Genomic DNA, 27,059 nt, shown 5'->3' on the forward strand with positions numbered 1-27,059 from the left:
TTACAGTGGTTAAAGTCAAACATTTATTAGGTATCTGCTGTTGGGGGTGGGGTGGGGAGATTGTTTGAGATACTGCAACAGACACAAAAGCAAAGAAAGAAACATTTCTGCCAGCTTACAGGCTCACAGAAGAATGAGACACTTACGCATGGCCATGATACACAGCAGTGAAAGGTTTAAGTGCCATAAGGACTAGAAAAGGAAGGAGAAAGACCTGTGGATGAGGGCCGTTAAGATTTTCATGAAGAAAGTAGTGTTTAAGGTGAACTGTTTTAGTGTGAGAAGGATTTCAACAAGAAGGCATTCAACAAACATTTATTGAGCCGTTATGTGCCAGACACTGTAGTAACTGGGAATGAAAAGACATGGGAGAAAAGGGACCAAACTTGCCTAGAGAACAATGAATAGTTCTATTTGGGTATGTGTAGGAATGAAGTGGAAAGTAAGGCTTCGAAGAGCCTTGAATGCCAGGCTGAGGTGTTCTATGAAAAACAACAAAAAACAGCAGCAGAGAAGTTTTGTTTTTTATTAGCTGCAGTTTAGAAAGATTGATGCTTCAGAACATAGACAGAAGGACCAATTAGGAAATTGCTATGATTACTCAGTTAATAAGTGTAGGCAGTGATAATTGAAAAGAGGGAAATGATATGAGAAAGTTTGTGGAAGTGAAATCTTAAATGATTTAATACCATTGAGTTTATGCGAAAGTACTAAAAACTCTTGAGGTTTTCTGTCTATGTGACTAGAAAATAGAAATATATGAGTCAGGACTTTATGGGAGAAAGTTTTAGCATTGGCCCTATGATGATGTAGATATGGATGGGAAGTCCAGTATAGATGTCCAACAGTCATTTCTTATTTACTAAGCAATGTCTAATATTTGGGGCACTGTTTAGGGTGACCAGGATACAGTGCTGGACAAAGCAGACTGGGTAGTAAATGTTGGTGAATTAACTTTTAAAAGATGACTCTTGGCTTCTTGGGAGAACAAATTGTAGGAGAGCAGGAAAAGAAACATGGAGACAGATGAGAGCAATGTGACGTGGACAGTGTTGATGGCTGTGGAGATGCAGAGACATGAGTAAGTAAATCAGCTGAATACTTTAGAGGTAGACTTGGTAGGGCTTTGCAGTTGGATTGGGGAGGAGACATGAGAGAAAGGGTGTAATCCAAGTTTTGGCTTGAGTAGGTACCTAGTGGTGCTGCTTACTAATGATGAAGACAGAGGGTGGGGTAGCAGCCTAGAAGCACATGTTCTATGAAGTCAAAGAAGACACCTGTGTGATCCTGAGCCTGCCCTAAAGCAGCTCACAGAGAAGAATCTAGGAAGTGGAGGGACTTAGGGCTTATGCAGTCCACCCTCTACCTGAAGGACTCACTCCTAAGCCTGCTTGCTACTTCTTGGGATCTTTGCCTCAGGTCAAAGAACAGGTAAGAAGAGAACATCATGGGCTTTGGAATCTGACAAACTGGGTTCAACTCCTACAGCCATGCCTTACTGGCTTTGTGACTCCAGGGAAGTTAGTTAACCTTCCAAGCCTCCTTTTCCCATCTATAAAATTATATCCTACCTAGGCTGGGCGTGGTGGCTCATGCCTGTAATCTGAGCACTTCGGGAGGCCAAGGCAGGAGGTTTGCTTGAGCCCAGGGGTTCGAGACCAGCCTGGGCAACATAGCAAGACCCTGTCTACAAAAAAAAACACCATTTTTAAAAATGAGCTGGGCGTGGTGGTGCAGCCGCTTATAGTCCTAACTACTTGGGAGGCTGAGACAGGAGGATCCCCTGAACCAGGAGTTCAAGGTTGCAGTGAGCTATGATCTCACCATCACACTCCAGCTTGAGTGACAGAGTGAGACCCTGTTTCAAAGTAAATAAGTAAAATAAATAAACTATAGCCTGCCTCACAAGGTTGTTAGGAGGTAAAATGAGGAAATGCACAATAAGGACTTGGAACAGAATCACATATGGAGCAGTGGTTAGTAAATGGTGGTGTCACAACTGGCTCCCAGTATCCACACTGGCCTCTGTGCAGAAATGGAGGTCCAGATGTGAGACTGCAAGTCCTCAGCCTTCAGAGGGACAGAGCTGGATACAGGGGAGAGCCCCCGACAGGGGAGATCTCCTTGTGCCGAACTCTGCAGGACATTCCAGAATTAAGCCCCAAAGAAGGGCTGAAGGACAGGATCATGAAGCCATGAACAAGGCCTGGATGCTGCTCAAAAGCAAGGGCCCGGCCTTCCCTGATGGGATTTTCTCTCTCAAACCTCATTCTCTACCTCCCTCCCCCTTCCCAGTGTGGGTAGGGAACAATCCCCTACCCTCAACCTTCCAAGACTCTTATTTGATGCTTTTAAACTTTTTTCTTTATTTAGACAGAAAAGACCAACTCTTTAAAAGTAAAATGCAATAAATAAATAAGTTAAGCATAGAGAACTGTCTGAAACTGACTCCCCGGTCTCCCCTTACCACCCCCACCCCCACCCCATTTTCTTTTCCCTAAAACCTCTTCCTAAAGAAAATGATCAGGTAATAAACCCCTTGACCCCTCCCCACACCCCTCCTCCCAATACCCAATTACCCCCCAAAGCAAAGGGAGAAATTAAGAGAGAGAAAAAAATCCAAGGGCAACATTGTCTAAACTCCCAGAAAGAGAGATGGCAGCGTCCGGGCCAGGCCGGGCGGGCTGGATAACGCACGGGTGGTAGTGGTATTTACACAGAGGGAACCAGCAGAGACTGTAAACATTTTTAGGGGTTCAGGGGAAGGTCTTTTCCTCGTGAAAGGAGGAGGGTCTCTGTGGCTGACTGGCAGAGAGGCAGCCCTCAGGGCTCCCCCACACCCTCCTTAGAGGGGGCCCTTGGGGGAGGCAGTGAGTTTTAGGGCTGGGAGCCCAGGAATCAGGGATATCCTACCTCTAGCTGAGGGTGGAGGGGAGTGAGAGCCAGCTTCCAAGAAACCCCTAATGTGGGGAAGAGGCTGGGGTGAGGGTGAGCTGGGAGTGTGTGGCAGGCCCCTGCGGCTCTCCTGGGGCCTGCACGGGTAGAACAGGCCCACTGTTGGGGGAGGCAAGTACAAACGCTGGGTACAGAAGGCCTGTCACAGGAGCCCAGCAGAAGGCAGATACCCCGGAGCCTTCGAGCCTGTTCCTCGCTCCCTCACAAAGGCCAAAAGGGCATCTAGGAGGAAATGGGCCCTTGGAGCCAGGGAAGCATAGCCATGGCCCTTCAGAGAGGCAGGGGGGTGGGAGGGGCCGGTGTCTTGTGCCCCCGGGGGCCACGAAGCAGCGTTTGCCCCAGAACCCAGTCAAGGCCCAGGGCAGGTGTGCGGAGAGGGCCGGGGCCAGTCGTGGGAAGAGGGTGTGAGGCGCCCCTTCCTCTGGGATCTCCAGACCTGTGAAGGAAGAAACATGGGTGAAGCATGGGGAAGAGACCCCCGATGCGGATCACGGGCTCTGGGGGAGGGGAGGGGGCTGGGGTGAGTGACAGCATCTAGGATGGGGCTGCCTGAGGAAGGCAGATCATCAGGCCTCAGTCCAAACGGACCCATCTGCCCCCACCCCCAGCCATGAGAGCAGGGATAGAGGAGACAGGAGGGAGGGGGCAAACCATACAGGAAACCAAACGGTATTAGGAAGGAAATAGATAGCCCATGAGAAAAATAAAGACTGGAGGGGGAGAGAGGCAAAGAGATGACAACAGACAGGCAGGCAGAGAAATCGAGAGAGAGACAGAGAAGGGGGTGCGTGTAAGAGACAGACACCTGGAAAAAGAAAGGGAACACCCGCAGAGAAGGCCAGGGCAGAGCCCAGGTCACGGCTCAGGGATGGAGTCTCATGGGGTGAGACCACCCCCGGCCCCCAGTTAGTGCTCTCATTCCTTTTTGGAAAGGAACACAGAAAGCAAGAGAAATGCACAGAACACAGACCACAGTCACCAACCACTGTAGACCAAGCACGTCCCGCGAGCTGCCCCCGGCCCTGACCTTGGGCTTGGGGGTGCTTCCCTCCGCGGCCCCTCCCCAAAGAACAAACAATCGGCTCCAAAGACAACACGCTCGTTCCATGCAACTTACAGGGGCCCGGAGCAGGGGTCCGGGGATGGGGGCTTCGGCCGACAATGGACACGGGCCCTGGGCTGGGGGGGCCCCCAGGGTTGGGGGAGTTAAGCAGCCAGGATTGGGGGGAAAGGGGAGAAACAGAAAATGTGGGTATTTTTCTTGGGTTGTGTTTTCTCAAGGGTTTGGTCCAAAGGAGATTAAACAGTGCGAAAGTAACCAAGGCTCACAGCTCTGTGGCCATGAGGTTGAGGTGGTGGCCAGCAATGGGGTGGAGGAGACCTAAGTAAACTTCACAGGCGGCGCGACATTTCAACCTCTTCCACCTAAACCAGAGCAACTCCCAAGAGGCCTGAAAATGGGCTCCCCCAGTCTGTCCTGTGCACTCTGCTGCCCCATGGGTCTGCTGCTACATGGGAAAAATCACCTGAAGTCCAGGGAAACCAGGGCTGATGTCCTCACTTCTCAGGACAACAGAGATTCTAGGAGCCAAGGATTCTAGGGCCCTCTGGCACCCTCAGCCAACCCCTTAATCCTCCAGTCCTGTTCCCCTAATTCCACTCTAACCCGAAGGAAAACCAGAAAGAGACACACACAGACATGGACACTGACCAGACAAACGAGACCAGATATTGTGGAAGGTCCAGGGAGTGGACACATATATACAAAGACTTGGCTCTTTCTGGGGTCACGGAGGGTGTGTGTGTGTGAGAGAGAGAGAGAGAGAGAGAGTGACTCAGATTATTGAAAAACAGCTGAGGGAGCTGCCCCAGCCCCCTGCTTCAAGTGCCCAGGGTCAAGGGTGGGGTGGGCATCCCTGAGGGTGGTGGAGGACAGGGGTTGGGGGTGTAGTCCAATCGAGGGCCCTGGCTGCAGTGTGTGAAGCTGGGGAGGGAGGCCACAACGGAGCGGGACCCACCTGGGGGCCCTCAGTAGGGCCGGTTGGCATCCTTAGGCCGCTTTAGCTGGACTTTGAGGCGCTTCATGCCGATCTGGAAGCCATTCATGGCCTGGATGGCAGCCTGGGCACTGGCCGGATTGTCGAAACTCACAAAGCCTGGGGTGAGAGGGGCATAAGGCCCGGCCCAGCCCCACCTCGCTCTTCCGTGCTTAGGAGACCTCTGGCACTACCCTGTGTCTCCCAAGTGTCCCAAATGCCTAGAAAGCTGCCTGCCACATAGCAGCATTCCTTAGGAATTTGTTGATTGATGGGTTGAATGGATGAATCCAGTCCAGCCACTCCAACTACCACATTCTTCCCAGCATTCTGTGCCAGTGACCCCTTCCTCTGCCTGGATAGCTCTGAGCCTGCCCTTTGAAAACGGCCACTTCCAGACCCTAAATGGCTTCTGAAGCAGAGAAGAACATTCCCTTTCTCCCCTGAGGAAGACTTTCAAAGATGTGAAGGCAGCTAAAACCGACTCCCCAAGCCCACCTTTTGCAAACCAAACATCCCCAGACCATAAGCCTATTTCAGACCTCATGGGACATGAATTTGGCCAGTTTTTAAGAGAAACGCTGAAGGAAGAAGAGATGGGCCGAGGCAGCAGCTGGGTGTGGCATGTTGGGTGTGTCAAAATGGCTCTTTTGTACTCTTGGATAATCAGTATTTCAAATACTGGGTCCACTGTGACCATAAATGCCTTCAAATATATTAGACCTTGTCCTGATTTGGAGTATGGCAAAAAATGTGCCATATCATATTCTTACCAAAACATTTGCTTTGATTGGTGGCTCGGTCAACAAAGACTTTGGCTGAGATGACGTGGCCAAAGGGGACAAACATCTGGAGGATCTCTGAGTCAGTGAACTCCTGGGGCAGGTGGTAGATGAAGATGTTGCAGCCATCAGGGCCTGGGTGGCGACAGAGACAGAAGAAAGAGCTCAGTGACTGGGAGGCACACACCCCAGAAGCAAATGTCCCAGGGAAAGCAGATCCTGGGAGTGCCCTCCAGTCCCAGTCCTTGACAGTGTGGGCCAAGTCTCCGGCCACTCCCTCCCCACTTGCTTTCATCCTGACACGTGGGCAAGAGCTGGGCTCAGCGCGGGGTGACAGGGAGTCCCCAAGCCCATAACGAGGGCATTCCTGTCTCCCAAGGCCCCAGCCAGCACCTTCTCTTTGCTGCTGCTGCTGTTGCTGCTGCTGCTGCTGCTGCTGCTGTTGAGGTGGTGGTGGGGGCTGCTGGGCGACCAGGGCTGGAGGCTGCGGGAACGCAGGTGCAACCAGGCTGTAGGCTGCTGGGTAGGCTGCTGGGGTGGGGAGAAGAGAGAGGCTGATGGGGCTTCCCTGACTTCTTGAGCCCTCCCAGCCAACCCTGTCTCCCTTCCCCTAGCCCAGGCCAGTGGCACCTGCAGGGCTGAGAGGTGGTCAGGGAAGGAGCTGCCTCAGACCCCTGGGTGTGCTGCCCTTAAAGACCCCTCCCCACAGTTGGGCTTGTCAGTAAAGCCTGAAGAGGGTGATTGGCAGGGAGCCAAGAAGCCCAGACCCAGTTACTGGGCCTCTTTTCCTCCTGCCACCTCTCCCACCTGAGCAGGGGCCCTGGCTAGGGCGCCTCACCTGTGTAGTGCTGCATCCCCGCGTAGGCCTGCTGCAGGGGGTCCACGGGGGCCGCGGGGCTCTGGGCTGGGGAGAGCAGCACAGACTATGAGCGTGGACCTGGCACACAGTGGGGGCCCTCAGTGCCTCTCTGGGCCTCTGGGCCGAGGCCAGGCAGGTGGGGAGCAGAGCTTCTCTGGGCATGGGGTGTGAAGTGAGAAGGCAGAAATGCACAAAGCAGTGGGAAGAGGGGAAAGAGCCCAGCGTTAGGAAGACTTGGGTCTGACTGTCTTGCAACCCTGGACAGGTCGCTTCACTGCTCTACACCTCAGCTTCCTGGCCGAGCCCAACAGGAAGGATCATCCCCGCCCAGGATGGCAGGGCAGGAGGAAGCACCTGTACCCCCAAAGCTGGGAGGGAAGGTGTGTCCTGCCTCCCTAATGGGAGTGGTGGTTTAGATGGTTGCTGGGACGGAGTGGGCAGGCAGAGAGTCCCACCTGGGTAGGGGTGAACCCCGTTGGGATACAGAGCATCAGGGGCAGGCTGCCCAGTGGGCTGGGTGGGCACCGGGCTGTAGCCGTTGACGCCCAGGGCAGCCGGAATGGCAGAGACAGGCGTGGCAGCGATGGCAGGAGGGGTGCTGGTTCCTGGGGAGGAGAAAGCGACAGGGAGAGAGCAGAGGAGCAGACACACACACAGGCAGAGAACCAGTCAGCAAGTCTGTGGGCAGAGGGGAGGAAGCAGGCCTCTCTGACCCCTGAGTCCCTCCCAGACCCCGAGGCTTCCCTGAGCAATGCCCTGTGCCCCTCCCTACCCCTACCATGCTTAGCTCCCTTGCCCGGCCTTGCCCAGGCCATACCTGAGGATGGGGTGATGGGGGTGGCGATGAGGCCATTGGCATTGATGGCAGCCATGTGCTGCATCTGCACGGCAGCCATGGTGGCCATGGGGCTGAGGTAGGCACTGTGAGCCGCTACCAGGGCCGCCTGCTGCTGCATCAGCTGGGGGGAGGGGAGAGGAGAGTGGGGCAGGCCCCCTGTGCCCAAGCCTGGCTCCCTCCCAGCCCGGGGCCTTGGCATCGGGAGGGTGGGGGCAAGATACAGGGGGTCAGGAGGGCTGGCCCGGCATCAGGGGCAGTGCTCACGGCCTGGGTGTAGGCGCTGTAGGCTCCAAACTGGAGGGCGATGGGGCTGAACATGCCCAACTGGGTGGCCACCTGCTGCATGCGGCGGAGACCTCGCTCCTTCTCAGTGTCAGCAAACTTCACCACCAGGCTGGACGAGGCACCCTGGGCACGGGCCCACACACAGGTCAGAGGTGCAGGGTCAGGGTCTCTCCTCCCCAAAGCCCTCAGGACCTGGTCTCCATTCCACCCCCATGGCATGGCTTGGCCTCTCTGAGAGGGCGGCCACCATTTTGCGTATGAAAGATGGGGAGATATTAATCCCACTCTCTCCCTATGCTAGGATGTGCAAGAGGCTAGAAGAAAAAATGAGGAATGTGAAGGCACATGCTTGGAAAGTGAAAAGCCTACTGGAATGAAAAGGGCATCATTGGCTACTCTGTGAGGACTCTGAACTGGAAATCATCCCCACCCTGGGTTGCCACAGCAAATGTTTAATCTCAGGCTAGTCTTCCCTTGTAGCTGCCCTGCGTGCCTTACCACGACTCCTGCCCCCACACCCCAGTCCTCATGGTGTGCCTCAAATCTTAATACTAGTCTGAGCTGAATAAAAACCAAATTGGAGCATTTGCAAGGATGATGGTAGAATCCTAGAATCTCAAAGCTGGAAGGGGCATAGGGTCATTGGACACAGTTCTCTACCCAATGCTGTGTCCCCTCCACCAAGGCCCCGTGAAATGTCTGCCCAGCCTTTGCTGGAGAGCTGTGAGTTATGGGAAGTGCACAGCCTTCTGAGTCAGCCAGTTCCAATTTAGAGGTGGGCTCTAGACTGGTCACTGACCTAACGCTGCTGTGCAGGGGCAGGGAAGAGGGGTGCACGTGGGGCCTCTAAGCAAGTGTCCTGGCGCCCCAGCAAATGAGGGTAGGGGGATATGGGAAGGCTGGAGAAGAGACGGGGGTGAAGGGAGGGCTGGGGAATGGAGGGAGAAGGAGAGGGATGTGAGGGAATTTGGCTGAAGGTGGATGGGGAATAGGGGAGGAGTGGGGAGGTGGGGAAGTGCCATTTGAAATGTGAGGGTGTCCCTAAGCAGTTTGGTTCTTCTGCCAGGACATTCCTTTCCAATAAATTCAAATAGCCCATCCTGAGTGGACTGCTTCTCTGGGCCAGGGCCTGGCAGGTGGGCAGGGTGGGAAGGAGAGGCCCGGGGGCAGGGGAGTGGGGCTCACTGGCAGGGTCCGGCTGCTGTGAAGGGTGTTGATGGCCGCCTGGGCCTCAGCGTGGGTCTGGAACTTCACGAAGGCGCAGCCTGGAGAGGTTGAGATGGAGGAGGAGAGGGGTAAGCACCCATCCCTGCGGGACCCCGCGGTGGAACCCGATGCCTAGGGAGTCTTGGGGGTGGAACAGGAAGGGGAAGGGCCCGGTGGGGAAGGGGGAAGTGGGTGGACTACCTTTGCTGGTGCCATCTGGCCCCCGGAGCACAGTGCACTCGTCGATGGTCCCGAAGGGCTCAAACATCTTCCGGACGTCCTCATCTGTCTGCTGCTTCCCTAGCATCCCCACAAAGAGCTTCCGGTCTTCTGGGTGGTAGGGCACAGGAGGAGGGCATGTTCAGGGCCTCCTGGCTGCCTTCCCAGCCCTTCTTCCGCCCTTCCCTGGAGCTCCTAACACTACTTCTGCTACCCTTAGGGTCCAATGGCTGTAGGGGCTGATGGTTGGGGAATGGGGTATAGTTGCAGAGGGTGCTCATCCCAGCTCTGAGGGACTCGCACTCCACCCTGGGCCTCAGTTTTGCCATCTGTACCCGCCCCAGATCTCACCCGCTCTGGCCACACTGACTCCTATCTCACCGCAGCTGGGAACTCTTCAGAATCATCAGGCTTTCTCCCTCAAGAAAGGCTACCCCTCGACAACTCCAGGCCCTGGGCCTGGGGGTGGGAGGAGAGGGACAGAGTCCAAAGGCACAGAACCTACCTCCTCGGCTCTCGCTGTCGGCTGGCTTGACCTGGATCGGCCTGTTCATCTGAAGGAGAGAAGAGAAGGCAGCTGCTGGGGACCTCCTCTGAACACCCAAGAGCCCTCCCAGGCCAGGCCCTGCAGAGAGACTAGAGGGGCAAGCCCCAGGCCCTCTAAGTTTCTGATGGGAAGGAAGGGACAGGGCCTAATACTGTTCAGGATGAAGGCCTGAGGGGATCAGAGGCACAGAGAGAGAGGATGTAGAGGGAGAGGCTCATGGGCACAGCTCCAGGCTCAGGTTGGGCTCCTGATGACTTGGCCAGGGATGGGTGCTGCTGTCCTGAGTGGGAGAAGGGGGCCTGCACATAGGACCCGGGGCCTGAGAGAGAGCCCGACCAAGGAGTTATTTAATAAGAATTGCCTCAATTCTACAAAGTGGGCGCAACAGAGGCCACTCTGAAGAAGCCCCAAGGAGGACTCTAGACTGAGGGAGACCCCACAAAGGCCCAGACTTCCTTCTGACCTCTAGAGGTGTGTCTGCCTCTCTTTCTGCCCCCCTATACCCCTTGACCCCAGGGGGAAGGCACTCGGGCAGCACAAAGGGAGCAGATGCCCAGTCTCCGTGGCAACGGGAGAATGCGCACCATGGCAACCGCCCACTCAGCCTGATTTATCCGTCCCCGTCGCCCTGGCGACCGTGGTGACGTCATCACTTCTGCTGCTCCACACACCCAGAGAAGGAGTGGGGTGGGGGGTGGTTAACAGGGTATGCTGGGGGTGGAGGATTTGGTGGGGGCTGGGAGGTGGGGGAGGGGCCCAGAAAACCTTCCTGATTCTGGAGGGAGGCTTGCAGAGCAGGCCCTGCAGGGGCCATCCCATCCCTTCTCCTGCCTCCCTCCTCCAGAGCAAATCCTTGGTGCCTGGAGGGCTCTAAAGGAGGAGTTGCTGTCCCGTGCTCCTTCGCAATTTACCCTGTGCACGGAAGTCCTCCAGAGCTCTAACCTCTCCCCGACCCCTGCAGTATCTCCCTTTGTTCAGTCTTCAGTGGAAATGGAGAAATTCCTAGTTCCACTCTCCATGTTCTTGTCTGGTGAGAGGACTTGGAAATTACTCCTGCAGGTTGATTTTCTTAACCAGGGTGGGGAGTATTATAGGAACTGGAGAAAGAGGAGAAGGACTTAGTATTTAGTGTCTGAAAATATTTTGCTCTTGAGGACTCTGACAGCTGGAACCACACCTGGTTGCCCCACTCATCTGATGGTGGGGCAGTAGTTCCAGTGACCAGAAAAATTAAACCTCAATTTACATTCTGAGGGTGAGGCTAGAGGTACCCTCAGGAAAGGTACTGGACTGGGAGTCAGGAGACCTGGATTTGAGGACTAGCCCTGCCCTGCCACTTACTAGCTGGGCGACCTTGGACAAGCCACTAGTCCCCTCTGGACCTCAACTTCCTTATCTGTAAAACAAGGGGGTGGGCCAGGCGATGTCTAATCAGGTTCCGGTCAGCTCCAGGCTCCAGCATGTGGAGATCCTGTGTGTGGCATCACTTAGCGCCGAGAAGTGCAGAAGTCACAGTTGCCCCTGCCCCTTCTCACCCTGGATCCTCACCCAGGTGTCGCATCATGCCAGTCAGTCTGGCCGACTCCACCAGTTAGGTATTCCCGGCCTCGGACCAAACCTAAGCCCCACCTCAACTGATACTCCTTTCCCAGGGCCCCACCCCCGCCCCCCAAATCTCTGGATCTGAGAGCAGCTGGTGAGGAGGGAGGGTAACAGTCATACAAATCCTCCAGCCAATCTGCCCCCAGCTTTATCACCCGCCAATCTGGGATTATCCCATCGGAGGCTCAATCTCCTTAGGCATGTGTGTGCGGGTGCGCATGCGCAAGCAAAGCGTGTCGTGGGGGCAGATGCTCAGGGTGCATGGGCTTTCACCTCCTTCTCTCCTGTGCTCTAGCCAAAGCACTCAGGAAATTCCCTCACAGGCACCTCCGCAGCCAGGCACCCACCCCTACACCCACGCCAAAAGAAGCAGAATCAGAACCAGGGTTGGGGGATTCTTACGCTTGGCGCTAGCCCCCTTCCCAGCAGGCCTGGGGATTTGCTGTTCTAGATGGAGATGGGAACCTGGGACCCAGAGAGAAAGGATGCAGTTCCCTCCTGGCATAGGCTCCCAGGCACAAAAATAGCATCTCGAGAAATACCCACGGCTGATGTGGATTCGCACAAAGAGACACACAAGTGTACAGACCACAGCAAGGACCGTGCTGACGGTAGGCTCCCCCTACACCCTCACAGACAGGACCCTTGGCGCTCCAGTGTCCCCTTCCCAGCCTCCTTCTTCGTGGCCTGGCACTTCCTGTGGGGAGCTCAGGCTTCGTTAGCTCAGCTCAGACACACCTGCCCCCTCCCCTGAGTCCAGCTGTGCCCTGTTTACCTGGCAACCAGGCGCAGCACCTTTCCTCCCTAGTTACTACCCACCAGGTGACAAGCCCTCCCTCGGGCCTCCCAAAGAAGGAGTGGCTATTTATACCCCAACCCAGTATAGCCGAGCCCCTCCACCACGGTCACTTTTAAGGCCTTCATCTTTCTCGCCAATAGCAAAAACTCCACTTCCAAGAAGACCTCACAGTTCTCACAAAATCTAATTCTTTTGAGGGTACAGCCTGGGGTCCTGCCACTCCTGGCTCCACACTTGTTCCCGGCGTCCCAGACCACTCACAGGTTCTCTCCGTGGGGCCAGAATCCACCTTCCTGACTGCAGACCGACAGGGAAGGCCCATGTCCCCCAAGTGGGATTTTGGTTCAGGGTGAAGGGGGAAGAGCTGGACAGAGGGCAACCCCCACTCCACCACCTCCATGATGCCACACCCTGCTCAGAGGACAAATTCAGGGACCTGTGGCAGAGCCACTCCTGGGAACTCTTAGGGGAGAGAAAAGGAAATGGGGCTCAACAGCTATAGGCCCAGCCCCCATTCTTTCTCTTTCCCTCTGCAGCCCAAAATATCACCCTAGTATGGTAGCACCTTCTAGATTTTTGGGGTGACAGAGATGGGGAGCAAGGAGAGGGGGCTAAATGTCTGATTTTTTTAAAAAAACCTGCAGTAGGAAGGCATGGAGATTAAACAGTAGGAAGAACAGTTATGCAGGAGCTGACACACTGCACACACATGCGTGTGCATGCACACACACTCATGCATGCACACACACACTGCATGCACACACACGTGCAAACACACACTGAGGGGAGAATGCAGGTAGCAGGAGAAGACTTAGGGAAGACAAAGGGTCACAGACATCTGCTCCCCACAACTGCCCTGGGTCTGTTCCTTCAAACCCCTTGGATGGGGGTCCCTCTTGGAGGATGGAACCCTCATTTCCTACTGGAAGCTGTGTCAGGTCCCTCTGGATTCTGTCCCCTGGGACAAGGGCTAAAGTGGAGAATTCAGCGTCACCTAGAAGCTCTGGAGAAGGGCTAGACAATCATTAACCAGGCGCCCTTCTTCCTCACCCCCACCCTGGGCTGGACTTCCTCAAGAAGGGCAGGTGGTGCCTCTCCACACCCAGGATGGAGCTCTGCCTGAGCTGCCAGGCAGCTGGAGGGGCACAGACCTAGGGTGGACACCTGCAGCTGGTACACATGACCTTTGGGGCTCATGCCCATCCCCAGGCTGTCTCTCATCCATGTCTCCACTCCAGTCCTCTTTATCTACCTTTTCCTCTGACCCCCTCTCATTTCTGCAGGGGCTCTGAGATAGGGAGACAACAGAAAAAGACAAACAGCGATGGAGATGAAAACTGTTGATTTGTGAGGGGCCTCCACAGAGAAAAACAGGGAAGGCAAGTTGGGACTGGATGGGGACCAAGCTTCCCAGGGATACGTGTGCCCAAACCCCACACATCTGGCCTGTCAAGAGCTCACATGCCTGTGTGCACAAACACACGCTCGCCTTGGGTCCTGCAGCTCACACACGTGCATGGCCCTTAACTCTGGCTGTGACAGGCAATGCCTATTCTTGACACTGACTGGGATAAGATCTTTGGTGGGCGTGGGGGTTTGGGTGGATTTGCCGCAGTTGGCTTTGCTTTCCTAGCAGTACTCAAAGGTTGAGGCCATGGAAGGGCTTGGGACAATCAGCAAGGCTGGCTGGGAAGAAGACACAAAGAGATAGGACCTTGCAGGAGAGGGGCCACCTCTGAGGCCACCCCTGCCTCCCTGGGCATACCTGGTGGCATCAGGCCTGATCCTCTACAATGTCTGTCCCTGCCCTTGCCTGCTACTTCCAGGCCTACCTCCAGCCCAGACCTGCCCAGGCCTGCCCAGGCCCTGCTCTACCCTGATGCTCTGTGGCTCTGTTCCTGGGACTCTTCCTGGGAGACAGAAGGGAGATGAGAGCTCAAGAACCAGCACCGAGATGCCAATCTAGCCGGCACCAGCTGCCTGTTCTCTGGGCACTCCTCCCTCATCTCACAGCCACCCAGCCTGCCTTTCCAGAGTGACAAAAGAGTGCCTGGGTGCCCCCTGCTCACCCTGATCCACACTTGGTGTCCAGAGACTTTTCCCCACACCTTCCAACCAGCGAGTCCTCCCTCTAGTGTTGCCCCATGGGCAGCTTGGGAAGTGGGGAAGGGGCTGCATCTGCTCCTGGTAAAAGTCATGTTTACGCCACTAATCGCTGCTTTCCTTCTCTCCAGGTAACAAGAAATGCATGCATCTACAGCAAGAAAGATGGATGCTACAGAGAGAGAGGGGGACTTCCTGGTGATGAGAGGAGGTGGAAATTATGCTCAGTGTCAGGAGGGTGGTGAGCCTCCTGCCACTTCTATGGCCCTTCTCAGTCCCCTGGCCCTGCAAAGGGCAGGACTCACCCCTGGAAGCGTCTTCTGTTCGTGCAGGGCGCTCTGGGCCTTCAGGGCTGAATCCCGGGCACAGTATGTCAGGAAGGCACATCCTGAGGAGGGGCAGGGGCAGAGAAACACGGCGGGGGGTGAGTCCTCCATCTCCCCTCTCTGAAAGGCTCCCTTCCAAAGACTGACGACTGGGAAGCTTTCCCTTCTTGTCATCTTCTGCCTGCTGGGGTAGAGAGGTGTCTCCAAGGGGTAGACTCTCTGCCCCAGAAGTGGGGCAGACACCTGGAGGCCTAAATACTGGTGGTGATGGGAGAGGGAGGACACTTGGGCTGTCAGGAGATGGGCTTTGTGTAGGGAGAGAAGGACCATGTGACCGCCAGACAAGTAAGAGTAGTGTGGCTTTCTCTCCTGCTGAGCTGTTCTCCTTTCCCCTCTCTCCCTCACCTCCACCTCCCTCCATCTTGATCACCATCATCCCTCTCTTCTCCCATTTTCCCTATTTCCTCATCTCTCCCCACCTCCACCATAGGCAGGTGGAGGACGGAGAGTGAAATAGAGAAGGGAAGGGAAGAACAGTTAGTTAGCCGGAAGTGCCTCTTCCCTGTGCCAGGTGGAGGGGGAGCTGGTGTGGCCCCTGGGATCCCCGGTGTGTGGAGCTCTCCAAGTGCTGACCCTGACCGCCCCCACTTAGCCGCACAGCCCTTGGATAGGCCTGAGGAGCACCCTCCCTTCTCCCCCACTCTCTTAACTTTCTAAGCCTCCCACACTTTCCAGATCTTTACCAATCTCCAGCCTTCATGCCCTGCTTCCTAGTCCCTCTCTTTAGTCCTGGAGCTGCCCTGCCCAGTCCAGCTCCACGCTTTCCACATTGAACACCTGACCCTGTGTCCTGACCCCCATCCCAATATTATCTGAGGCTGCTCAGATTCTCAGTCTTGCTGCACACGCACACACACACACACCCCTACCCAGCTGCTTATCTCCCAAACCAGCTCTCTTGTCCCTCCATTCTTTCTTGAGTTCATCCCATGACATCAACACACCCATATGTCTGGGATCCACATCTTTGCAGCCGTCTTGACAACTCTTCAGCCAAAAGAGGCCCTCCTTAGTCCTTCACCGGGGTTTCCTGATCACTCTAGCTGAGTTCTTTTTCAGCTCCTCCATCCACTTTCCTCAGGCCTGAACTCTTCTCCTTCCACATCAGCCCTTCCCAGCCGCTCCACCCCTCCAGCCTGGCTTAACTTCCCCCAGCCTCCCAGCCCACCCCGAAGCCTCTTCAGCCTGCCCGACCCCTCACCCTTGTGCAGCCCGGTGTACTTGTCCTTGATGACAGTCAGCTCAAAGATCCGACCAAACTGTTCGAAGATGGGCTTCAGGTCCTTCTCCTCCAGATGCCTCGGGATCTGCCCCACAAACAGCTTGATGGCATCCGGCTCCTTCATTGAGGCGGCCCAGGAGGAGGGGCCGAGGGGAGCAGGGAGAGGCCCAAAGGCCAAGGGGAGCTGCCCAGCAAGGAGATAAGTGGTGGGGCCCGGGGGCCCAGCTGGGGCTGGCTTTCCCTTTGGCCCCCAACCACGCTGCTAAGCAGAGGGGCGGCTCTTCACACAAAGGAGGCCCAGGGAGTTGAGTGCTAGGGGTCAGGGGTCTAGGCAGACGCTGTCATGCCACCAGGGGGCATCGCCTAAACAAACGATCTCCCTCCCAGAGATCTGGCAAATGTCCCAGGATGGGGGTGAGTATGGCCAAGACCTGGAGGGTTAGGTGGTAGCCGGGGGTGCTAGGGCTTAGAGGGCTGGGAACTGGGAGTTGAGATGAGAGCTGGAGGCGGGGAAAGGGCCTGAGGAGGGTGATGGGGAGGAGACTGAGGGGTTAAGGGGCCTGCTATGGTTGCCAGCAGCGTCAGTAAGGGGGGCCCACTCCTGATGTGGGGCAGGTGAATCTCTCGTTGGCTTCCCTGGGAGGACACCTCCCCTGTGGCGGATCCTTCTGCTGGGTCCGAAGATCCCTGATGCCAGATGCTTGATCTCTGATGGCGGCAGGGCTCCAGGGGTCCCTTTTGCCCTGCCGCCCCCCTTCAGGTCCTCCCCTCAGCCCCCCTCCCACCCCCACCCCAGTCCCCGGGCCTGGGCTGCTGCCGGCTGCTCCCGCCGCTGGGGCTGCCTGCTTTCCCGGTCACCTGGGTCCCGGAGCTCTGCTCTCCGGCCGCGCTCTCCTCAACAAAAACCTCCCCCCTCCACACCCCCCTCCCCACTCCCACCTCCTTTCCCCTGACATCAGTGATGTCAGTCTCAGGGGTCGAATACAAATTCTCTACCCTGGAGAGGGACGCACAATCCAGGCACGAGCCACGCCCTCTTTCTATCTCCATCCTCCCTGACTCCCTTCCCGCCCCCAGAAGAGCAGCTGGTCCTGTTGATAATAACCCTTCCCCCATCTTACTCCCCAGTCAGGAGTTGGGCAAAGCACTAAGATGGAGAATTTATAGAGGAACCCTAAAGTGGGGTCCATTGTTCCGGGGGCTGGAGCTGTCCCCGGTGCTGGAAGACTCAGCAGATGGGGGGTGGCGGGGAAAGAGGGGAGCCCGGCATCTGGGGAGCCCCAAGAGTAGAGAGTCAAGGAAAGAAATCAGGGGAAAGAAAAATGAGAAAGGACGGTTGCATAGGCTGAAGGGAAAGGAGATATAGATGGAGAGGGAAGCAGGTCGCAGAGTCTGGGGGAAAAAGAAAAAATGCAGAGAGGAAAAATGGAAAGGGACGTGGAGAAGGAGGAGCAGGATGAGAAGAATGCAGAAAGAGAACTGTATATTTTCCAGAAAAGGAACCAAGAAAAACGATAGCTTTCTGGCATTTGCCGATGCCCCCTTCTCTCCCTCTGGGGGGTTTGTGTGTATAAGTGCGTGGGCAGGGAGGCCGCGGAGGCGGCGCCGCGGGCGCTCTCACTTGTAAGCTCCTTGAAGACCAGGACACCGTTTAATTCAGCATCTTACTGTTCACAGTGTCTAGCACCCTGTCTTGCTCATGCGTAGCAGGAGCTTAACAAACACTCCATGCAAACAACCTCTGACAACAGTGGATTCCTGATTCCTTCAGTGGGAAGAACCACAGCTGTCAAGCTTCCCCTTAGGATGCAGAAACCCAATTACTCTTTCCTTTGCTTCTTTCTTCAGTTGGGTTCTTTGAGTTGGACTCAAATTGAGCCAGGTAGCACAGAAGAGCAGGGGAGGCACATTCGGGGACCATTGCTCCCCTGACCATGGATACTTCTATGGATGATTGGCAGGCTCCACGATCTGGAGGGAGCGTGACCCCTCCATGCACTGGGCCCACTCAGAGCACGCCCTCAGTGCAGGGATTATCTGTGGACATCAAACCTTGTCAGTGGTGGTAGCCCTTGCTTTCTGTCAGTGCTCAGCAACGGGGGCTCTCCTGGGGCTCTGGGCTTTTGTAGAGCACCCTGTCTTCCTGTCATTCCCTTCTTCTCCCCCGGGGTAGGGCTGCTGTTTCCACAGAGGCACTCGTGTCTCTAAACTGTGTCCCAGCTGAGTCCCAGGGGCCTCCATTCCTGAGCTATCACGGCAGGCAGGCTTCTCTTCTGGAAGGGAAATAATAGTAACAGCCAGTGCTTACATGGCTCTTACAGTGTCCCAGGCTTTGTGCCAAGTGCTTTATATTTACTAACTCCTAAACCCTCACCACCCCCCTATGATGTAGATTTTGTCATCTCCAAATAGAGAGGAGGTAACCAAGACACAGAGCTGAAATAACTTGCCTAAAGCCATGCAGCTAGAAAGAGGTCTAGCTGAGACTGGAGCCTGGGCAGTCTGGCTCCTGAGTCCACGCATTTAACTCCCACATCAAACATTCCTCTTGAGAATGGGAGCAGTGGTGAAGTCTGGCCTTTCTTCCTCTTCTGTCTCCATTTAAGCCCTGGATGAGAGAGAGTCTTTCTTTTTACTGCTTGATTCTGTGGACCACCTCCCATCCTTCCTTAGCCTGTTTTTTTGTTGTGGCCTGGAGCCACGCTCTGGCAGGTGCTTGCATTTGAGTGAATGTGTATGTGTGTAGACTTGATTACACTTCATCACATGGATGCCCGGGTCCCCCAAGTAGGGTCCCCTAAGATGGGGTGGCAGTGGGGGGAGGTGCTAGAGGACTCAGTGGTGGGTGCTCAGAAGAAGCGAATGACGGCAGAGCCAGGGAATCAAGAAGGGCACACACATCTTGAAAGTAACTTTCCACTCACCTACCCCACCCCCACTGCTCCTTTCCTTGCCTTCTAATCTGATCTTGGTATTTATGGAGATGCTAAACAGATCATGTCCTCTGAGGATGGAGAAGGGGAAGACCCTATGGCCCTGTTGATCTCATTACTCTATGTCTTCTCAGCAGATCTGCCGCCCTGCTGCTCATTCAGGCTTGGGGCTAATCATATTAATTGAAATATTAAACATTCACAAAAATGAATTAAAATGAACTCCCCTCACTCCTCCTCCCAGTCAGTAATTGGGGAGACAGCTGCAGACAGCAAAATGCGTCCAGTCCTTTGCTTAGTTTGTGGTCCCCAAAGGTGTCAGTCTGAGAGAAGAGGCAGGGTTTAGAGGAGAAGAGTTGTACCACTCATCAGACTCTCCTTGCTGAGTGACGGTGAACACATCTCTGGTGTTCTTTCAGGCCATGGGATGGGAGTCCTGTGAGGTAAAGGCAGGGGAGCCCTGAGACTCAGATGCCTATTCTGGAAAGTTTCTCTCTAGGAGAGAGAGAGGCTTCCAGGATACTTTCTCTGCCCACCACCCCCAAGCTCACCCTCTTTTTTATTCCTCTGCAGTCAAAGCTAGGCTGCCCTACATAAAAAGATTATTGAATTTATAAAGGGAGAGCTCTGATCCTGGCTTTAGATTCTTAGGAAATGAGAAATGCTGGATAATTGGGATATTTTTCAGAAAGGGCAAAATGTGGTGGTATGTGTGGGCAGAGTGGCTAGTCATGAAGTACTTACTGGCTTCCCTGATTGAATACAGAGTGAAGACATCTGCAGCAGAATTTATGAGAGTGCACAAAGAATTGATTCTATAACCTTCCTGCCCTCAAGTGGCTTCCACCTCAAGTGGAAGGTAAGACAGGCCAACACAATACATAATAGTGAGTACTGAGACGCTGTTAAAAAAACAAAAAGTAGCCCCTCTCATACATGGGCATTTGGGTCATAGGATGTGATCAGTGAAGAAAGGCTTGATTGATTATCAAAGCACAAGAAGATCACAGATTGGCAGACGGAGGGTATCAATCATTTCCTACTTGGAGGTGGGGAGGTAGAGAACACTGTGCATGCCTGTGTGTGTTTGAGTGTGTAGGTTTGCTGGTCCAGGCTCTGGCATTGTCTAATATAATACAAGCCACATATATGGTTTAAAAATGTCTAGTAGCCATATATAAAAGCAAAAAGAAACAAGAGAAATTACTTTTAATAATAAATGTTATTTAACCTGATATATCCAAAATACTATTTCAACATGTAAATCAATTACATGTTATTAATGAGATTTTTTTCATACCAAGCCTTCAAAATCCTGTGTGTATTTTATATTTGCTGCACATTTAACACCTACAGCCACTTTTCAAGTGTTCAAGAGCCACAGGTGGCTTGTGGTGACTGTACTGGCTGGCACAGCTCTGGAGGTGCCACCACCAGCTTCTCTGGAGGGAGTATGGGGAGAAAAGACAGATCTTGGCCAAGAGGAACCATTATCTCTGGTTAACCTCTTGCTCCTGCCGGGAAAAAAAAAATCACTTCTGACAGATGGCAGCTTATCTCTCTCTCACTCTATTAACTCTCTCTCTTAAAAAAAGACAATCAACCAAAATGATCACTAACCAAGATGGGGTTCCTGGGAAGTGGCTTGTAGCCCACTACCTAATTTACTTCTTGTGGTTTTCCCTGGCTTGGGAACTGCCAACACTTTCACTTCTTTTCCTCAGTCTTTGCTGGAAAGGACAGAAGCAGACCAATGATAACCCCTCCACGGCCAGGGCCTAATGCTGAGCTTGTTTCTCATGGTATTTTCTTGCTCCTTAGGGCAGTTGTTCACAAATCTGAAAAGACAGCCTCCCTTTTTTCTCCTGCTTCTCAGAAGGCCTCTGCTGAGCACGATCTCTGTGGGGGTAGGAGCTCGGCATGTGTGTATTGACAGACAGGCTCATGCCCTTTCTCGTGGCTATTTTCAGCTCTCTGGCTTTATGTTTCACTTTCTCTTCTTAATTAGATACTAGAAGAACAAATCTTGAAGACCAAATTCCCTTTCTCCTCCCGTATTCAGTTGGGAGTGGAATAAAATAATTTAGAATTTATGAGGAGCCCAGGGTGAAGAGAAAGTTAATCTACACAAAAAAGTCAGTCCAAGAGGGGGAAATTCTGGCAGAATGTCCCCCAGGTCCTTTCCAGCATCTTTAGTCGGACAGAACGTTCCTTCCTTTGCAGAACTCAGCTCACTCTATGTTCTGGGGTGCTTCCACGTTGTTTGAAGAATCCACGGCTCCAGTGTCGAATGTGTACCGGACAGAGGGACGGGTTGGCTTCTGGGACAGTGGAAAGGGAAGAAGCTTGGGTTCTCTTTCCCCAGTACTAGGCTTCCTCTAGCTTCTGTCCAAGTGAGGGAGTCTGGAAGCAGATTCGGGGAGACCTTTTTTCCTGTTTTACTCTAGAGCTAACAAAAAAACCCTGAAGTTGGGTGGGGTCAAAAAGGGCTCATTCCACATACAATTAAGTCCAGAAATCAGTCCCCCAATCCGGGAAAGGCGATCCTTTAGAGACCCACCCCCCAAGCCCCCGCCCCGGAGCTCACCCCTCAGTTCCCTCAGCCCCTAGCCCCTGCTTCGCTGAAGGGGCCGGGCTTGGGGGCAGGGCGGGGCCGGGGGCGGGGCCTCGCCGGCTCGCGGCCGGTCGCCTTGACGACCGCAGCAAGATGGAGACGCTGCCAGGCTTGCTGCAGCGGCCCGACCCCGGGGCGCTTAGCGCAGCGCAGCTGGAGCAGCTGCGAAAATTCAAGGTGGGTGCGCCCGCGCCCCCATCCAGCGTCCACCAAAGTGTAGCTGCCCCAGGACTGGGGCCCCAGACTGGGAAGAGAGCCGCCGAGAGAAGGGGAGCGGGAGCCTGTTCCCTGATAAAGTGGGGAGGGCGCAGGGGAGACCCCCGGCGGACCTCTAGGCGTCTGATCCCAGCACAGAGCGCGACGGGCATCTGAGAGTGCAGGAAGAACTAACTCAGGGACTCGGCCAGAGAAATGGGCCGAAATTACTGCCAGACACATCCGACCTTAGTAAAGGCCCCTCATCCTGAACAAGCGGCAGAATGATATTTTATCTGTAAGAAGATGGGTGGCTTAAACTTTCAAGCATCCTGGGGAAAGACTTGGGTTAAATGCGCACGCCGTTTCCCGCAGCCCTTCACATCTCCAGGGCTGAACCCTGAATCTGTCTCCTAATGGAAGTGACCCTTTGTTCTTGCCCCCCAGATTCAGACTCGGATTGCTAACGAAAAGTACCTAAGGACCCACAAAGAAGTAGAGTGGCTCATAAGTGGTTTCTTCAGGTAGGTGGTTTTCCAGGCTCTGGGATTTGTGGCACGCAGGGTTTTCTTCGTTATCTCTAGAGGTTTCCTTCAGTTATCTCTAAATTCTTAAAAATATGTCTATTCATTTACTTTAACCATAAGGATAAATACATACCTTATGACACTTGGAAGAGGGAATTTGGCGTTGCGAAACCCAACAGCCATCCACTGGGTGTAGAACACTATTCTCAACCATAGGAGCTTAACAAAATCACTAGTTGAACTTAAAACAAAAATCAGTTGTCTGGTTGGCCCTTCCCTACTTGAAAACATTACTGTAGAAAAATTCCAAGGGTTGGAAGCCACTCTTTTCTTGGGGAAGAGAAGACAATTTACCAGCGTATCCTGGAATATGTTCTTTCCTTCCCCCACCCTCCTTTCAGCCTGGCATTTGCTTGAATGGAAACATATCCTAATGGGATGAAGAAGGAGAATTAAAAAAATAAATCACGGAGCATCAGTGGATGAAAACAATAGAGCTATCTCAAATGCTGTTTGGTTATAGACAAATAGACAAGGTTTAAATAATTATAATGGCACCCATCTCCAGGCATTGTGCTGTTCCCCTACATTAGCACTTACCACACTGTATTGTAATTGAGCTGTCAATCTTCTGTTACTGGTCCAAAGCTCCGAGCTTGTGGAGTGTGTTTGTGTTCTCAGTGCCCACGCAGTGTGTGGCATCTTGGAACACTTTTGCTGATCCTCCCAGCACCTCCACAAAAGACAGGTGATTGTCATTTTTATTTTATAAGTGAGAAAATTTAAGCTTAGAAAGGTGAAGTACCTTCCCAAAGTTGCTGAACCAGGATTCAAACCCCTGGTTTTCCCACTGTATTGTGCTGTAAGCAGTCGGTCCCCATTTCCCCTCTGGACTGTGTGCTTATAGCCAGAGGTGGGCCCTCCCTTGTCTTCTCAAAAGTTGGCGAGGTCAGGCAAGGTGGCTCATGCCTGTAATCCCAGCACTTTGGGAGGCCGAGGCGGGTGGATCACCTGAGGTCGGGAGTTCGAGACCAGCCTGACCAACATGGTGAAACCCCGTCTCTACTAAAAATACAAAATTAGCCAGGCGTGGTGGCACATGCCTGTAATCCCAGCTACTTGAGAGGCTGAGGCAGGAGAATCGCTTGAACCCAGGAGGCAAAGGTTGCAGTGAGCTGGGATTGCTCCATTGCACTCTAGCCTGGGCAACAAGAGCAAAACTCCATCGCAAACAAACAAAAAAAAGTTGGCCAGGCAGATGCGTTGGCTCACGCCTGTGATCCCAGCACTTTGGGAGGCTGAGAGGGGTGGATCACTTGAGGCCAGGAGTTCGAGACCTGCCTGGCCAACATGAGGAAACCCTGTCTCTACTAAAAATACAAAAATTAGTCAGGCGTGGTGGCACGTGCCTGTAATCCCAGCTACCTGGGAGACTGAGGCAGGAGAATCGCTTAAACCTGGGAGGCAGAGGTTGCAGTGAGCCGAGATTGCGCCACTGCACTCCAGCCTGGGCGACAGAGCAAGATTCTATCTCATGAAATAAAAATTAAAAAAACTCACTATTCATATTATAGACGTTTCTCCAAGTGGCAACAAATTCTCAGAGGGCAGATAGGGGAAGGAAACAGAGAAAACTGAAACCTATCCAGTTATGAAGGTTGGCCAGGGATAAGCCTTGGGCAAAAGAGAGTTTAGGGATCCTCTGTCAATATCAGACCTGAGGATCAGGCCGTCACCTTTTGCAACTTTTCTTCTAAAGGGAAATAAGATGATATCGTTCCTATCCTGGGGAGCTTGCTCTCCAAGTTAGTAGTAGTTCCAGCAGAGAGATTGGGGATAGAAGTTAAAAGCTGAAACTAAATCAACATTTGCATTGCTCACAAACAACAGGATTAGAATGCTTGGGGTTGATGAATAAGAATGAGTTGTTTCAGTCACCTGTCAGAGATGGCCTTGATTCTCTCTTTGTCCAGGAACAGTTTCCAGGAGCAGCCTGGGTATCTGAGACTGGCTGCTGTGGGAACAGCCCCAGATACTTCCTTTCCTTTCTTACCATGTTCCTGTCAAGGCCAGGTAGGCCACCAGGTTTTTCTTTTTGCTGTCCCTAAAGCTACTCTACCTGAAATTCTTCTGACCTCTTTTCCTGGGTGGAGCTTGCAGAGGGTTTAGTGTTTGAAGTTTTAGGGTTTACTTTTGTTTGTTTGGTGTCATTGTTCCCTTTGATTGGTACCGGGATGAACCAGAATCAGCTTCTGTCCCTGCTGGCCACCTCACATGGTCCTTCCTATGAGAAAAGAAGAAGGGAGAAGTGAGGGCAGAGTCCTGAGCACCGTGCCTGTCCTTGTCTGTTCTGCAGATATCTGCTGTTGATACATTCCAAGCCAAAAGAAGCTCTGAAGGGTTCTTTCTGGGAAGCAAACTCCCCACTTGGGTTTTTTAGATCCTAATGATTTATGGCCATTCAGCCACAATTCTCCAGCCTATATTGGTAAATACAGCGTACCAAACTCTTAACACCTTGAGTTTTGGACCTGAAAAATGGAAAGAGTAGGAATCTGACTTATTTTAAGGTACACAGAAACCTCAGGTTTTGTGCTGCAGATATGATAGATAGCCAGGTATGAAATTGTAGAAAGTATTTTTTTTTTTTTTGAGACGGAGTCTCGCTCTGTCGCTTAGGCTGGAGTGCAGTGGTGCGATCTCAGCTCACTGCAACCTCCGCCTCCCGTATTCACGCCATTCTCCTGCCTCAGCCTCCTGAGTAGCTAGGACTATAGGCACCCGCCACCACGCCCGGCTAATTATTTTGCATTTTTTTTTTTTTAGTAGAGACGGGGTTTCACTGCGTTAGCCAGGATGGTCTTGATCTCCTGACCTCATGATCCACCTGCCTGGGCCTCCCAAAGTGCTGGGATTACAGGCATGAGCCACCGCACCTCGCCTTTTTTTTTTTTTTTTTTTTGGAGACGAAGTCTCCCACTGTCATCTGGGCTGGAGTGCAGTGGCGCAATATCGGCTCACTGCAGCCTCCACCTCCTGAGTTCAAGCTATTCTCCTGCCTCCACCTCCCAAGTAGCTGGGATTACAGGTGCCTGCCACCAGGCCCGGCTAATTTTTTGTATTTTTAGTAGAGATGGGGTTTCACTATGTTGGCCAGGCTGGTCTCAAACTCCTGTCCTCGTGATCTGCCTGCCTCGGCCTCCCAAAGTGCTGGGATTACAAATACAGCAGTAATCATGTCCTTCCTTGGCTGGAAAAATCTTCAGTAGTTCCACAACGTTGCTTTTTTGGGTTTGTTTTTAAAAATTCTATTGAAATATACTGAAAAGTGACATATCCTAAGCTGGATGAACTGTCAGAGGGTGAAAATACACATGGTACTATTGTTCAGATGAAGAAATAGAACCTTACCAACACCTCACATCCTTTGTGCCCCTCCCAGTCACTCCCCTTAAAACAGTAGCCAGTATCCTGACTTCTACTAGCACGGATTTATTGTGCGCTTTTGTATTTTATATGAATGGAATTTTACACTATGTGCTCTTTTGTGCCTGTTTCCTTTTGCTCAGTCGTATCTTGTAGATCCTCCATTCTCACTGCTGTATAATATTCCAGCATGTGTTATGCCATGTTTTGTCTATTTCCATTGTCTTTCAGATTGAGTATAAATGTCCCTCCCCAGCATTCAAGGCTCTCCGTAATAGAACCTCTTCTGTTTCCCACTACTCCCTGCATGCGTCCCTCACTCAAGCCAGACCACATTTCTGCTCATTCTGCTGACCCTATGGAGCTCAGGCACAGATGCCTCTTGAGTGCTCTTTTGGACTCAAGATAGAAAGGTGTCTACAACCCACTTCCTACTCTCAAGGAAGTCATAGTCTATAGAACACAAACTGTTTCTCTTTCTGGGCCTTTGCTCTTGCTGTTTCCCTGGATCTGGAATGTTTTTGTCCCTCAACCCTCATCCTGCCTACTACAATCCCATGTGTACTTCAAGGGTCCTCTCAAATGCCAGCTGCTCTGTGAAGATTGTTGGGGTCCCCCTCTCAGTAACCTCTCTCCCCACTCTGATCTCCCAGAGCACTATTTAATACTCCTCTTTAGCACTTGTCAGAGGTTCCTTGGCCTTTTGGACATTTGGAAACTAACCTCTTCCTTTTTACTTACCTGTAAATTATTTGAGGTAGGGCTATATTTTATTTTATTTTGAAAAAAGCAGTCACTCATATCTAGTGCAATTACTTGCACATAATTTGTGCCCAATAATTATCAAAATGAATTGAAGGAGAAGGGGGGCAAAATTCTTGAAGGTTAGGAAGGAGGGGCTTCTTGGGGAGTTGGGAGGCCTTGGCCAAGAGAACATATTATAGAGGGCACTGACCTTGGAGTCACAAGACCTGGGCCCTCTTTACTTCATTTACCAAGTTTATGAACTTGGGCAAATCATTAATCTTTTGAAGGCTTGGTTTCTTTGGATGTAAAATGGGGGCATAATAATGGTTGTTTCACAGGGTTGTTGTAAAGTGAGACAATATTTGTGAACATACTTTATGAACCATAAAACTCTATGCAATGTAAGGCATTTTCAACTCTCTAGTGGCATTGGCCCTGCAGGTGTTACCACAGTGTCTCCTTGCTGGACTGAGGGGCCAATAACCATCTGCGGTCCATCTTTTAGCTCTGTTTATTGTATCTCCCTCTGCCCCTTGAATTCATGGTTAAGCTTACTCAGGACATTGTGGGGCTGCATATCTCCCACCATTCGTGGGCCGGCCGGCATGTTCTTCATCTTTGCCTCTTGCCCCTGGCTTGAGATCTGGTTCAGTGAAAATGATCGTTGAGGCCGGGTGCCGTGGCTCACGCCTGTAATCCCAGCACTTTGGGAGGCCGAAGTAGGAGGATCGCTTGAGCCTGGGAGTTAGAAACCAGCCTGGGCCACATAGTAAGACTC

The 27,059-nt window shown here is 52.8% G+C and overlaps 2 protein-coding genes across 10 annotated transcripts in view, besides 4 other annotated features; one reads left to right on the forward strand and one right to left on the reverse strand.

The window, feature by feature from the left end:
* CELF3 (CUGBP Elav-like family member 3) lies at positions 1–16,746 on the reverse strand. Of its 5 annotated transcripts, none has more exons than NM_001291107.2 (13): positions 15,819–16,746; positions 14,537–14,619; positions 9,686–9,734; positions 9,163–9,288; positions 8,941–9,020; positions 7,735–7,878; positions 7,450–7,591; positions 7,088–7,237; positions 6,612–6,677; positions 6,167–6,304; positions 5,765–5,908; positions 4,974–5,111; positions 1–3,391 (listed from the first exon to the last, which is right to left on the reverse strand). In NM_001291107.2, exons 1-12 carry the CDS (start codon positions 15,961–15,963, stop codon positions 4,984–4,986), a joined length of 1,395 nt encoding a protein of 464 aa, NP_001278036.1. In that variant the 5' UTR covers positions 15,964–16,746; the 3' UTR covers positions 1–3,391; positions 4,974–4,983. The 5 variants fall into 5 exon arrangements, with proteins under 5 accessions (NP_001278036.1, NP_001278035.1, NP_009116.3 ...); NM_001291106.2 differs by having other exon boundaries at positions 6,167–6,301; positions 9,163–9,291; NM_007185.7 differs by having other exon boundaries at positions 9,163–9,291.
* Positions 5,641–6,141: an enhancer, noted in NCBI's record as "H3K4me1 hESC enhancer chr1:151678174-151678674 (GRCh37/hg19 assembly coordinates)". NCBI's record gives its function as "activates a minimal SCP1, AML or CMV promoter by ChIP-STARR-seq in naive H9 embryonic stem cells {active_cell/tissue: H9 hESC(naive)}" and the evidence as "EXISTENCE:reporter gene assay evidence [ECO:0000049][PMID:30033119]".
* Positions 6,142–6,642: an enhancer, noted in NCBI's record as "H3K4me1 hESC enhancer chr1:151678675-151679175 (GRCh37/hg19 assembly coordinates)". NCBI's record gives its function as "activates a minimal SCP1, AML or CMV promoter by ChIP-STARR-seq in primed H9 embryonic stem cells {active_cell/tissue: H9 hESC(primed)}" and the evidence as "EXISTENCE:reporter gene assay evidence [ECO:0000049][PMID:30033119]".
* Positions 11,494–27,059, forward strand: part of RIIAD1 (regulatory subunit of type II PKA R-subunit domain containing 1) — an 18,255-nt gene continuing 2,689 nt past the window's right edge. Inside the window, exons 1-4 of one of the 5 annotated variants that reach the window (XM_047418094.1) lie at positions 11,494–11,940; positions 13,412–14,472; positions 19,539–19,631; positions 22,029–22,105. In XM_047418094.1, the coding sequence (XP_047274050.1) occupies positions 14,452–14,472; positions 19,539–19,631; positions 22,029–22,105 (191 nt within the window). In that variant the 5' untranslated portion in view covers positions 11,494–11,940; positions 13,412–14,451. Of the gene's footprint in view, positions 11,941–13,411; positions 14,473–17,489; positions 19,216–19,538; positions 19,632–21,464; positions 21,564–22,028; positions 22,106–24,081; positions 24,182–27,059 lie in introns of those variants that run through there. The other 4 variants (XM_047418090.1, XM_047418091.1, XM_047418092.1 and 1 more) reach the window with 4 other exon arrangements.
* Positions 16,676–16,970: an enhancer, noted in NCBI's record as "tiled region #11691; K562 Activating non-DNase unmatched - State 8:EnhW". NCBI's record gives its function as "activates a minimal TATA promoter and a strong SV40 promoter by Sharpr-MPRA in K562 cells {active_cell/tissue: K562}" and the evidence as "EXISTENCE:reporter gene assay evidence [ECO:0000049][PMID:27701403]".
* Positions 21,350–21,419: a silencer, noted in NCBI's record as "silent region_1325". NCBI's record gives its function as "represses an Ori minimal core promoter by ATAC-STARR-seq in GM12878 lymphoblastoid cells {active_cell/tissue: GM12878}" and the evidence as "EXISTENCE:reporter gene assay evidence [ECO:0000049][PMID:35858748]".

This window comes from Homo sapiens, chromosome 1, assembly GCF_000001405.40.
Source record: "Homo sapiens chromosome 1, GRCh38.p14 Primary Assembly".
Taxonomy (NCBI): domain Eukaryota; kingdom Metazoa; phylum Chordata; class Mammalia; order Primates; family Hominidae; genus Homo; species Homo sapiens.